This window comes from Homo sapiens, chromosome X, assembly GCF_000001405.40.
Source record: "Homo sapiens chromosome X, GRCh38.p14 Primary Assembly".
NCBI lineage: Eukaryota > Metazoa > Chordata > Mammalia > Primates > Hominidae > Homo > Homo sapiens.
This window is the reverse complement of record NC_000023.11, coordinates 118,648,373-118,662,343: the sequence shown is the minus strand read 5'-3', so window position 1 is coordinate 118,662,343 and position 13,971 is coordinate 118,648,373. Positions and strand designations below refer to the sequence as shown.

General features: G+C 38.4%; 1 protein-coding gene across 6 annotated transcripts in view; it reads right to left on the bottom strand.

The window, feature by feature from the left end:
• The window catches only part of DOCK11 (dedicator of cytokinesis 11), a 190,333-nt gene that overhangs the window by 23,804 nt on the left and 152,558 nt on the right, over positions 1-13,971 (bottom strand). For all 6 annotated transcript variants that reach the window (XM_005262368.5, NM_144658.4, XM_011531276.4 and 3 more), the window contains 4 exons: positions 13,217-13,399; positions 10,267-10,380; positions 7,527-7,742; positions 7,383-7,440 (listed from right to left, as the gene is read on the bottom strand). In XM_005262368.5, coding sequence (XP_005262425.1) covers positions 7,383-7,440; positions 7,527-7,742; positions 10,267-10,380; positions 13,217-13,399 — 571 coding nt within the window. The remainder of the gene's footprint in view (positions 1-7,382; positions 7,441-7,526; positions 7,743-10,266; positions 10,381-13,216; positions 13,400-13,971) is intronic.

Here is a 13,971-nt window from a genome sequence, read left to right as displayed (position 1 = left end):
AAGAGGGCAGGCACTTTTCAGGTAACCACTAAGTGATCTTTGGTAACCATGTCTAGTGCCTAATTTCACTGAGATTTGGGAGAGGAAGTGAGATGTTGGAGAAGGTCTGGCCTAGGACTTTTAAGAGAGTCAGGAAATAAAACAGATGGCAGGGATGAAGCATCCTAGAGAAAACAGGATGGGGCACTGGAAGAACCACCACTTTTGGAGTTACATAGACTCAGCTCTATCACTAACTGTGTGATTTTGTGCTAATGTTTATCTCCCTGGGACTATAAAAAGTTTTATCATCTGTAAAACAGGGATAATAAATAACTATGCTATGAGAATTAAATGAAATGTAAAGTGTTTAGAATGGAGCCTAGTAAATAAGTACTCAATGAATTATTACTAGCAAATAAGCCTACCAATAAATAAACTAGCCTTCTCAAGGTAGAATAAAATAATGGCTGCCAGCTGGACTCCTGGGAAGTAGGAAGTGAACTCAAGCTGAGAACACCTGCTGTAGGCTTCTGGACCAAATTGTTACTGTCAAGCAACAGTCGAGGTGTAAAGGCCACATGGTTCCCCTATAGATTCTAGACAGGGGAACATGTGTAAACATTCCTACTGTGTCTGCCTTTACCTTTATCTAAGTGGGCTGTAATTTTAGAGTTCAAGGAAAATTCTGCCTCTTTATAACATAACCATTGAAAACGTTTCAATGAAAAAGTTTCCTTCTGATAGGAGCTAGTCACACAGACACAAAAAAATGGCTGTTGCAATCTACTGTTCTACAACCTAACAGTGATACTTACAAATAATGACCTTTACTTACAATTAAGTATCTGGTAATCTTCCTGTTAGAGGTTGGGGAAGGAAGAAGGAAGGTTTAAAAAAAAAATCAGACCTCATGTTGAAGAGATTTCTCAGAATTCTGGTGGAAAAGAGGTTATATATCAGGGCTTGGATTTTTCCAACTCTTCTTGTCTAAATGAAACCTAATCACTAGACATGTATCTTCTGGGTAAGCTGCTTAACAGAACATGGGTAGGAACCACACACAGAAGTAGGAACCACACTTCTTTGAGAGAAAGATGAAAGTCTGCTAGGGGAAGATAGGATTATTTTGAAATACTTTTTTTTTTTTTTTTTGGAGACAGAGTGTTACCCCGTCACCTAGGCTGCAGTGCAGTAGCGTGATCATAGCTCATTCCAGCCTCGACTTCCTGGACTCAAGCCATCCTTCTGCCTCAGCCTCCCAAGTAGCTGGGACTACTGGTGCAAGCCACCACGGCTGGCAAATTTTTATATATTTTGTAGAGACCAGGTCTTGCCATGTTACCCAGGATGGTCTCAAACTCCTGAGCTCAAGTGATCCTACCCATCTCAGATTACCAAAGTGCTGAGATTATAGGCGTGAGCCACTACGCCTGGCTTTGAAATACTTTTTCAAGAAGGGAGAAATACATGGGAGTAGTCAGTGAGTTTTAATTAAGGAAGAAGGAGCCCCAGGAATGAAAGTGATATTTACTTTGACCCACCAAGCTGTAGGACCATTTTTGTTCAAATAAAGTAGATAATAAAAGGCATTGGGCCAGGCGCGGTGGCTCACGCCTGTAATCCCAGCACTTTGGGAGGCCGAGGCAGGCAGATCACGAGGTCAGGAGATTGAGACCATCCTGGCTAACAGGGTGAAACCCCATCTCTACTAAAAAAAAAAATACAAAAAATTAGCTGGGCGTGGTGGCGGGTGCCTGTAGTCCCAGCTACTCGGGAGGCTGAGGCAGGAGAATGGCGTGAACCCGGGAGGTGGAGCTTGCAGTGAGCCGAGATCACCACTGCACTCCAGCCTGGGTGACACAGCGAGACGCCATCTCAAAAAATAATAATAATAAATAAAAGGCGCTGAAGATAAAACATAGCCTGCTTCATTTCTGAAGATAAGCATGCCTAAAATGGTCTGTTACAAGACCTCTAGAGAGTTCTATTCAAAGTACTGGACCATAAAAAGATAAGGAACTTTCACCAGAATGTAAATCAATTCCTCATTTCCTTCTTCAACAAAGTCTTTCTATTAAAAGGAACAAGTCAGTTGAACAAACAGAGTGTTTAGTGACATGGTTAATTTACATTCAGGACAATACTCCTTATCTTGTTGTAAACATGTGATAAATAGTTCTCAGACTAGCAGCTGGTCTGTGGGATACTCTTTGTGCAGTAGCGCATTAGGAGAACTTTTTGAAATGTAGAAGAAACCATCCCACTTGATCAGCACTATCAGGTCAAGAGCCAGGCCGTAAAGAAGAGGGCCCAAGACTTGAGTGAAGAGACAAAGAACATAGCCTTTATTGAAGAAGATAGTGAATCCCTGAAGGCCTCAGGCAGCTAGGTCCATGACTGGGAGAAAAAAAATTCCCATCTGTTCAAAAGAGATTATTACTTTAAGTCATTTCCAAATGTAGGGCTTTTCTAGAATGCTGGGATTTAAGGGAGGATGAAGAAAGGCACACTCCTATGCCAGATGAGATGAGGCTAAAAGCATCTTGCTAGAGTCTTCCGGTGTATCTTAAGTAGAAGTAGGGAAAATTATGTTTTATCTCAGGAACAAAGACATAAACACCCACTTTTGAAAGTCGTGTCTGGGTTATCTAGTGCAAAGACTACTATTGTGAATTTTCAGCTTCAGAGTCCAATATTCTTGCTAAGTGTGTTATCTTAATGCATCTGCCTGATAATGGATCTCTACCCAGAGATGACTATATTCCTCCCCCTTTTTGCTAAAGTTATCAACACCCATCAATATCCAATTACATCACGACCCTTTGTTAGAATCTTTAAAATGCTTGGAGAAAATCCTGATTCCTCTTAGTTCTAGAAAGATTTTCAGATGAAACAAGTTGCTGAGTCTAGAATTGGCCAATGTACATATCCCAACAGAAGGATGCATCTGTTTGAGGGATCTCATGTAGACCTATGCAGCCCTGTAGAAGGTGGTCCTGGAGAGTCTGCTATCAGTTTCTCTGGTATTTGACCAGGACTCTTGACCTTGCTGTTTATAGCTGTAACTTCTGTATTCCTGACTGCTGTTCTAGGGAAAGCAAGATGGAAACTGTTCAGATAGAGACCATAACCCTGAATCCAAGTTATCCCGTGAAAAAAAGTGGGAAGGGGTGTGGAAGATGGGATAGCAGTGCAACCCTTGATTAAAAAGGATGGCCAGTCAGAAGAAGGATAAGAGCTAAGAGTCCTGAGGGGAGGATAAGAAGGGGAAAAGCTATGACTAGGAAAGAATGAGGGAATAAAAAGCTTCATGAAACTCAAGCTATCAGATCCTGGATACCACGTCTTGGGAAAGAGAGCAACATTACCCTGTAAGGAATGAAAAAAACCAGATTCTATGGGAAAGGAAATTCCTTTTTCTGGGTTGATGGGTGAATCCTTGCAGGCCTGAAGCTTTGCTGAACCTAGGATGCTATTTGGTGGTGAAAGAATGCAGAGACTTGACTCTTGTCTTCCCTGGGGAAAACAGTTGTACCCTCTCTTAGGAAAAGAAAAAAGGGAGAATGTGATCTAGAAAATTTGAGGTTCTCAAACAAAATAAAAATAAGCAAATTCTGACATTTTTTATTTTATATTTTTTGGGAGGAAGGAGAATAGCTGACACTCAGTATTATCACTTTGAGGTGCCTTCAATAAAGGGAAGAGAATAGTGATCCTTAAGTCTCTTTGGTAGAACAAGCAAGAGCTCAGGCTGCCTGAAAGAAGTTTGAGGGTAGGGTGAGGGTGGGGGCAGGGAGTACTGCATACCTCCTTTCCCTTTTCCTGTCAATTCAGTGCCTGACACAGTGAAGAAAAGGATCTGGAAATGGTCCCTTGTGGGTGCTGTGCAGTCACCTTTGAGGGGCAAGGGCCCCTAAGCCCTTCCCTGCTTAGGCAATGATCCAATAGGGCAAAGTATTTTTTTTCCTTAAAAACGCTACACAGTAGAACATCTGCTTCCAATGTGTCAACTGATGAGTAGTATTTTATTCCATCTTGATTTAAAAATGTTTTATAATGTACTTCAAGAGAAACTGGTTAGGAATTAGAGAAAACAAAACATTTTTGGCAATGGATATGTATCAGGGATTTAAAATATACTCTAATGCTCCTTCCCTCTTGGCTTCATTATCAAAGGGCACTTAATGATAGAAAACAAAGAGTTCTAAAGGTGCCCAATTATCTTTGTCAAATACGTTGGTCTTAAGTGTAAATTCAATGATTTTTTTTCAGTTCTGCACTCAAATGTATTTTCATTTACTCTGTCAACTGCCGGGTCTTATCTAGACTTCAAAAAGCTCACTAATGCTTTCTCAGAATGGATGGGAGGTTAACAGATTACAGGTTTTTTAAAAAAAATAGTTTTGGAGGAAGAGGTGATTTTTTGTTACATGGATAAGTCCTTTAGCAGTAATTTCTGAGATTTTGGTGTACCTGTCACCCGAGCAGTACCCAATGTGTAGTCTTTAATTCCTCCCTGGCCCCCACCCCCAGTCCCCAAAGTCCATTATATCATTCTTATGCCTTTAAATCCTCATAGCTTAGCTCCCACTTATAAGCAAGAACATACAATATTTGGTTTCCATTCCTGAGTTAGTTCACTTAGAATAATACTCAGTTTACGTTTTTAACTTGTGTTTTAAATTGGTAGTCGACCTCGGTATAGCTAGCATAGTTGAATCAGCTAATTAAGAAAAAAAAGGTGTTTTGGATCACTGAAGCTAAGTGGGGAAAACCCTGAGGACTTTTACTACTACCACTATTTTAGAATAAGGTTTTCTAATTTAGGCAAATAGAATTTTCCAGGTTTAAAAATAGATGGCATCAGCAAACCACCATGGCACATGTTTACCTATGTAACAAACCTGCACATCCTGCACATGTATCCCAGAACTTAAAATAAAATAAAATTTAATTAAAAGAAATTTAAAAATAGATGACACCTATAAATAAATATGTAAATTCTCTTAAACATCATTTTTTTTAACATTCAAAACAACATTTTCTCCTCATTAGTGAAGAGTGCTTTGATTTCTATGAAGAATAAATTCTAAGAAACCTTGAGGGTATTATGAAATATATAAATGGCTAGTTGAAAATATTATTTCCACTTCCTGAAATGTATCAGTTTGGTGTTTATGCTAGCTGCCCCATGCTAATATCCAGAAAAACCATAGCAAGAAATTATATTTCTAAAGCTTAAGGACTGATAATAAAGACAAATAATTCTTGATTTTTGCTTAGCTTTAATGTCTCTGCACTTGTGAAAAAAACAAAAACATTCCAGGAAATAGTTTTAATATAATTAACTATTTTCAAAGTCTAAAAAGTACAGTTTTAGACTTAGTGGACATAAAAATCTTCAGATTTCTACTGCTATTATTATTATTTAGATGGAGTTTTGTTCTCATTGCCCAGGCTGGAGTGCAGTGGCGTGATCTTGGCTCACTGCAACCTCCGCCTCCTGGGTTCAAGCGCTCCTGCCTCAGCCTTCTGAGTAGTTGGGATTACACGTGTGTGCCACAACGTCCGGAGTTTCACCATGTTGTCTAGGGTGGTCTTGAACTCCTGACCTCAGGTGATCACCTACCTTGGCCTCCCAAAGTGCTGGGATTATAGGCGTGAGCCACCATGCCTGGCCAGATTTCTAATTAAAAAGATGAGATAATATTAATCTATTTCTCTGAAGACATACTTGAAATCACGGTACTCCGTTTAAGGTTCTCATATCTTGTCAGTTTATTTGGAATTTCAGGTGTGTAATTTCAATATTTACTTATACTGTGATTTCATATGCATACCAGTGATTTTTAAAAAAACCCTCAAATGGGGCCTTATTTTGGTAATTAATCTCCTTCTCTGTTTAAAACTCACATATGTATACTAAAAGGAGAAAACTAAAGTATATCAAACACATAGATTATTCAAAAGAATTCCAGAGTCAGACAGAAAGTGTTAATTTAAAATATAAGTAAAATGAATCTACATTTTACTTAAGAAGAATCTTTTTTAAAAAATTTATTTATTCATTTATTTATTTATTTATTTATTTATTATTTTTTGAGACAGGGTCTTGTCCTGTCACCCAGGTTGAAGTGCAGTGTCCTGGGCTCAAGCTATGATCCTACCTCACCCTCCTTCGTAGCTGGAACCACAGGCATGTGACACCATGCCCAGCTAATTTTTGTATTTTTTGTAGAGATGGGGTTTCACCATTCCTGCCAAGGCTGGTCTCAAATTCCTGGGCTCAAGTGATCCACCTACCCATGCCTCCCAAAGTGTTGACATTACAGGTCTGAGTCACCACACTCGGCCAAGAATCTTTTTAGAAAAAGATTCTCCACATGGGTGTTATATGAGGCAATCAAACACTGAGCCTCAGTGTGAAATGATAGATATACAGTTAACTGTAGGAATTCTGTAATTAAAAAATAAAACAAAATATGGTTGTGTTCGTACAGCTGAAGCCAGAGTGATATGACTCCTTTAATAAGTTGGTTTCATTTTGCCGTATTGTTACTCATTCCACTGCCTTAAAGGAAGTAGCTTGGACATTGAGATAGAGATTTCTTGGTTGCCAGCTCCATTGCCAATCAATGTTTAAACCTAACTCAACTGGGTTACTATTTGAGCAGATGCAGTTTGTTCAACAATACTGTTGAGCAGTAGCCAACAATACTGTTTATGGAAAGGGACACTTCCAAGTAGATTTCCTGAATTAGGAATCTTAAATTAGGAATCCAGGGCTGCTGGACCTAAAGCCCTTCAAGAGTATGACTCCCTTTTAGTACCCAGGTATCACTGCACTAAAGTGGCTGGAGAGACATAGTCTATGGGCAGTTTGGTGATGTTAAGACACATGACGGGGAAACAAATAATCTGTGTTATCCCGACTTGAGCCTTGAGAAGAGTTTAATTTGTGGCAGTCTTCCAGGGAGGGACAGTCTTGGAAAATAAACACTGGGCATCAGGCCTGGCCCTGTACTATTTTTTTTTTATATTTTATATTTTATTTTAAAATAGGTACAGGATCACACTCTGTTGCCCAGGCTGGTCTCAAACTCCTGGCCTCAAGCAATCCTCCAGCCTTGGCCTCCCAAAGCACTGGGATTACAGGCAAGAGCCACTGCACCTGGCCACCCTGTACTATTTAACTTTTCTTGTAATCTCTAATGAAAGCAGAAGGGACAACAAACAATCCAGTCTTCTTTTATAACAGCTTATTTTTAACACTGAATAAGGCCAAGGGTGAACATATTTTTCAGTGTTCTATTATATCATATTCATAGCTAAACTACAAAGATAAAAAACTATTATGCTAAATGAAAATCCCCCCATCTCTAAAAACAGAAATATCTTACTTTTTCGATGAAGAAACTCTGCAACTAGAGCTGCTACATGGACATAACACATCGCAGCCTGAAAAAGGATGACAGAGAAAGAACTGTCAGAACATGCTCAAGGTGTTTTGAAGGGCTGTTTAGAACAAAACTTTAAGTAGTCACCTCTGAAAAATCTCCATTTTTTACATGAATCTTGGCCATGCTATCAAGCCAGGTTTTCCTGAGCTCTGGGGTGCTTGCATAGGACTTGGCTAAGCTATACTGGAGATCAATTAGCATTTCAGGGTCTTTCTCATGCTCCTTCATTTGGGCAGTGGCCATAAGAACAGTGCGGATTCTCTTGGTCAAGTCTTTGACTTCTGCGGGAAAGGCAGTTGCCTAATTTCAAAACAAACAAAAAAGACAAGTTGAACAACAATATCGATGTGCTCTAAGGCTTGTCATCCAATGCTGAGGACATATGATTTTCACTTCCTGTTACAGTTCTTGGTATTGCATATAGTACACTGAAATAATTTTAAATAAATTATTTTTTAAATATGTAACTAGCCCAGGCTTCAAAGGCTCTAACCTTGGTGGCAGTACATTCACAGGACATAAAAGCATTAGCTCTGGAGCCAGACTACCTGGCTTTGAATCCCAGATCCTCCATTGTGAATTGCACAGCCATGGGAGTGATCTTTGTTTGCCGTTTTCTTGTAACAGTAACTAAAAACTAATAGCTTACTATGTGCCAAGCACTAGTCTGGGTTCTTTACATGTTTTAATTTTTACGACAACCCTATGAGTTAAGCACTATTATAAAAAAGTGTTTAAATGCTCGACCAAAGTCTCAAAATTGGTAAATGTTAGAGACAGGATTTTCACCCAGGCAGTCTGGCCCTAGAGCTGGTGCTCTTGGCCACTCTTCCATTCTGATAAGCATGCCTACTCCATCCACTAACTACCACATACACTAAGGTGAAAACCATACTGCAGAAATTTCTGTTTACACAAATGGGAGGTCATGAATCACAGAACGTTCCAGAAAGTTTAGAGAGATCATTAAGCTTTCAAAGTTTGTTTTTGGCACCAAGAATACCAGAGTTTCCTCTTTACCCTAGCCACTGCTAAGGAAGTCCTATTGCATCCTCTTAACCCCCACAGGAGTAATCACAATTATCTATATGATTCAGAGATGATGAGGAAGAGACAGGTACAGGGGTTAGGGAGCTTGTCAATATAAACACAATATGTGGGGGAAATGGTTTGAAACACTGCCTTCTTGGCCGGGAGCAGTGGCTCATGACTGTAATCCCAGCACTTTGGGAGGCCGAGGCAAGAGGACCACCTGAGATCAGGAGTTCGAGACCAGCCTGGCCAACATGGTGAAATCCCATTTCTATTAAAAATATAAAAAATTACCCAGGCGTGGTGGCAGGCACCTGTAATCCCAGCTACTCGGGAGGCTGAGGCAGGAAAATCACTTGAACCTGGGAGGTGGAGGTTGCAGTGAGCCAAGATCGGGCCATTGCACTCCAGCCTGGGCAACAAGAGTGAAACTCCGTCTCTAAGTAAATAAATAAATACAATAGAAATAAAAAATACCTACCTGGCTTTGACTCCCTTTAAAAATAATAATTATATACATAAAGTTCCTTTCTATACATTAATAGAGATCCCATTTACCAGGGGAAAGCTGTATCTTTTCGTAATAGGGTTTGTTGGTAATGACTGCCATAACAGAATAAAACTAAGTCATTTCATAAATGAGATATGGAAAAGAAAAAGATTTCCTATCAAGGAGAGAATATACAAGCCCCATTTACCTAGAAAAACTTACCAATCTACCTATATAACATAGTACTAAGGATGGTAACAACTGGTAAAAACAATTCCTTAGAGTATAAGCATAAGTGGTGTAACTTGTTTCTATGCTCACAAGATTAGCTGGAGCATATACTGATCCCCTGCGGAACTAGTAGAACTGGCTGGAAAGCAAACTTTCCCAGCCTGAGAGCGGCTGGCACTACACGCTGTTATTTTTCAGTACAAGCAACATTCCTATGGGAATATTTTTTGGTACTTAGATTCTACACATCCAAACATCAAATATGCTGTGACTATGAGCTTTTAATCTTTTTCAGATTTTACACAATGTTGTCAAACTGTGCTGGAAGATGACCTTTCCCAAGAATGGGGATGATTCATTCTTCTGGGAGGAAAAGTCCTATTGGCAAAGGATTCTTCTTCCCTTGTATACATGTGTCACTGAAGATCAGAACCTGCACTCTACGCAACAAAGCAACAGATGAATTTTTACAGTGCTATAAGTTTTAAGCATATAGGAAAGAAAGTGGAACAGTGGTCAGAGTCTTGGGTTTGGCCTCAGCAAAATGGTGCTTAAGAGTGACAGCCTTGGTGTTAACAGATAATTTTCAAAACTCACAAAACCATCAAATAATGAATCCCTTCTGTGCCATTTCTCATCCATTGGCAATGGATCAGGCAACTGTTAGCTATTCTAAGTGAAATTTTGTGAAATTTCAAATTCAGTGCTTTTTTAACCAATATTAAAAGTGGTGACAATTGTTAAGAAATAAAGGATCTATGTATTTTCTGAGCAAGTTTGGAAATGAAGCCCAGAAAAAAAAAATTCAGATTCGACTTGCCATAACAACTATGAATACATAGTATATTCATTCATCCATCCACTAAACTGATATTGAATATATGCTATGTACCAGGCAGTGTTCTAGGTACTAGAGATATAGTGATGTATAAGACAAAGCCCTTAACTCATAAAACTCACATTCCGTACATTCTATACTAACAAAAGTTGTGAATCCAATGACAGTTTAAGAGTTTAAACTTCCCTGATAGCAAAGGTGGTTCTAATTTATTATCTGAAATGAGAACATACCTTCATAGGTCTGTCACTATTTGCAAAATTATTGATAATGAATAAAGACTCCTGAAATCTTGATCCTCCGCTTAGTGCTACATCAGCTATCAGTTGGCTTACAGCAATTATTATCTGTGGGAAGAAGTAAATATTATTTTCCAAATAACTTTTGAACAAATGCTGTCTATGCTCATCATTTTATAAGTATATAAGCACTCACATGAAATGCTTCTTTTAAAGATTCTACACTGTACCATCATAATGTACCCTTCATACATGAGGGGTTTACATTCTTCTGCTGAAATAGTAACTTGAAAGGCCCTATTTCAAATTTTAAAGGATCTTTCTTGGTTAGACGTAAACAATTTTTCAAAACTCATAGCATAGCCAGATCTAAAACTATTTTCATAATAGTGAACTGATACAATGGTAGTCAGGTCTCCATTTTAAATATGCTTTCTAGGTTGTAGCTGTGGCAAAGGTGAGAATAAATCATGTTTTTCTTTGATGATTTCTCATTCCTTTTCACTAGTCTATTTTAGTTGGCTGGACTTCCAAGTCCAGTGCCTCAGCAACTTTCTTTGTTTTTGACCAGGGTTTACCTAGTTTAACAGAAGTTTATGGAATGGACTTTGATGGTACTTCTTATTTTTTGGGACAGGGTCTCACTCTATTGCCCAGGCTGGAATGCAGTGGTACGGTCTTGGTTCACTGGTTCACTGCAGCCTCAACCTCCCAGGCTCAGGTGATCCTCCCACCTCAGCCTCCCAAGTAGCTGGGACTACAGATGTGTGCCACCACACCTAACTAATTTTTTATATTTTTGTAGGGACAGGATTTTGCCATGTTGCCTAGGCTGGTCTCGAGCTCCTGGGCTCAAGTGATCCACCCACTTATGCCGCCCAAAGTGCTAGGATTACAGGCATGAACCACTGTCTTTGATGGGACTTTTAAATCTCTCAGTCTCCCTTGGGTGAATGCCAAAACAATTCATACTAAGATGTTAATGGCTGGATGCTTTACCACTGGTCCTAGGAAGCAAGATACAGTAATAGCCATGTGTATGGGCTCTAGAGTTGAATGCCTTAGATACAAATCTTGACTTTATCAATAATTCACTGTGTGGCTTTGGAAAAGCTATTTAACCTTTCTGTGCCTCATGTTTCTCATCTGTAAAATGCCTATGATAAAAATCCCTACTTTGTAGAGGATGAAAGAGATCATAACCATTAGAGTACTAGTTAATCCTTTATTGAGCACTTATTATGTGCCAGACAGTGTTCTAAGTCTTCATATTTATTAATTTGTCTATATTTGAATAAAAGACTTAAAGAAAACTGATGCTTTGACCCAGAAGAATCAATACCAATGGGGGAATTTCAGGTATATTGGCACACAAATTAGAACAATGTTCTAGGGGAAGGTGGGTTTCCAAATGCCATCTCATATAAAAGCAAATAGTAAAGGACCTAATGTGTAATGATGGCTGACTCTAACATGCAAAAGTAATTATATAGCAGACTTTTACAGGAAGCATACACAGTATTCCTATTAGATTTTCACATTATTGATGACATTTTTCAACAAGCTGCTTATGGTTGTTTCCCCACTAATAATCTTATCTCCAGTAAACAACTCTAATGGGACAGACCATGACAGTAAAGATATAAATAGGACCAAGGATTTCCCATATTACAATGAAGGCTACTGAGTCAAGCAGTCCCAATTGTGGTTTAGTTCAGAGCTATTTCATCCAATAAACCCAAAAGTATGGAGATGTTGAATAATAACTATCATGTAGGAAGTATCTATCTTGTGCTACACATTGTGTCAGGCACTATAGGCACTATACACGCCTTATTTTAATCCTCAGGGTAACTCTGCAAAGTGAAATACTCAGTCTCATTTCACAAATAAGGGAACAGGTTCAGTCAGATTGAGTGACTTGCTTAGGGTCACAGGGCATGTAAGGATTTAAGCTATGATTTAAGTGCAGGTAGGCCTGATTCCAAAGTCAATGCTTTCCACTAAACCTTGACACATCTCTCATTTTTAAAATAAGTGGGCATACTGGAGCATGAAAAACATAAACTGTGTTATCTGTTCTGTAAAATCTAACAAGCTTGTTATTTAATCATCTCATTTAATCCTCATAAAAATCCTATGAGCTAGGTAACAATATTTACCCCACCAGATTTGCAGAAACTGAGGCACTGAGAGGCTAAGGAAGTAACTTGCTCCAGGTCACATAGTATGTGGCAGTCCTCAAATTTAAACTAGAGACTGGGCACGGTGGCTCATGCTTGTAATCGCAGCACTTTGGGAGGTTAAGGTGGGTGGATCACCTGAGGTCAGGAGTTTGAGACCAGCCTGGCCAACATGGTGAAACCCCGTCTCTACTAAAAATACAAAAATTAGCTGGGCATAGTGGTGCATGCCTGTAATCCTACTTGGGAGGCTGAGGCAGGAGAATCACTTGAGCCCGGGAGGTGGAGGTTGCAGTGAGCCGAGATCATGCCACAGCACTCCAGCCTGGGTGACAGGGCGAGACTCCGTCTCAAAAAATAAAATAAAATAAAATAAAATTTGAAATAAAGCCTATGCTCTTCTCTGCTCAGGAGCAGCTCTATTCCATAGAAATATGACACATGCCACATACGTAATTATCAATTACCTAGTAGCCACACTAAAAAGAGACTTATTTTAATATACTTAACCTAATACAGGCAACATATCATTTCAACATATAATCAATATAAAACAATTGAGATCTTCTATTTTTTTCATACTTAGTCTTCAAAAGCCATAGTATATTTTACACTTTCAGAACATCTAAATTTAGACTAGCCACACATCAAGTGCTAGATGGCCACATTGTATTGGACTGGATTGGGTGGCTCTGGATCTTGATCTAGAGGTTAAAGATTGAAGAGAAGAAAGATGAAGAGGCGCTTTTATTTTCACTGACCTGTAGATGTGTCCTCAAAAAGGTTTTCCTTTTGGTATACTCAAAGTTGTTTCTCATCAAAAGATACAAAAGTGCAGATGCTTCATTCCTGGTTGAGCTAATCTTCGATGTGCAGCACTTTAAAACCTCATAGCAAAATGCAGCACACATGTTTACTCTTCCTTTGAAAAATGCTGAAGGAAACTAAAGAACAGGGAAAACAGAAATAAGTATTTAAAATCCAATCATAAAATCAATAGAATATCAAGTGCCCTCTATATCCTCACCTAAAACTATGCTGGGGGCTTTGAGGATACAAAATCAACATAAGGCAGGCTCTGCTCTCCAGAGAGCCTGAACTAGTTAACATAAACACCAGCATGTGATAATAATAGAACTTAAGTCAGTATATAAGTTATTACAAAGATGTAGAAGTACTGAATATAAATGCTATAGATCTGAGAAGAGCTCGAGAGTCTGCAACATATTATAGTATTATATTATATCTATTATATATTATATATGTATTATATATTATATATTAATATATTATATATATTATATATTTATATATATGTATATAATATATATAATTTATGTTATATATAAATATATAAATATATATATATTACATATTAATATATTAACATATCAATATAATATATTATTATATAATAATATATTGTCTCAGCACGTTGATGTTCACAATAAAGGAACTGTTGAAATATAAAGCAAAAGAGTAAGTAATGAAAATTGACCTTCCCATTTTTAAGCCC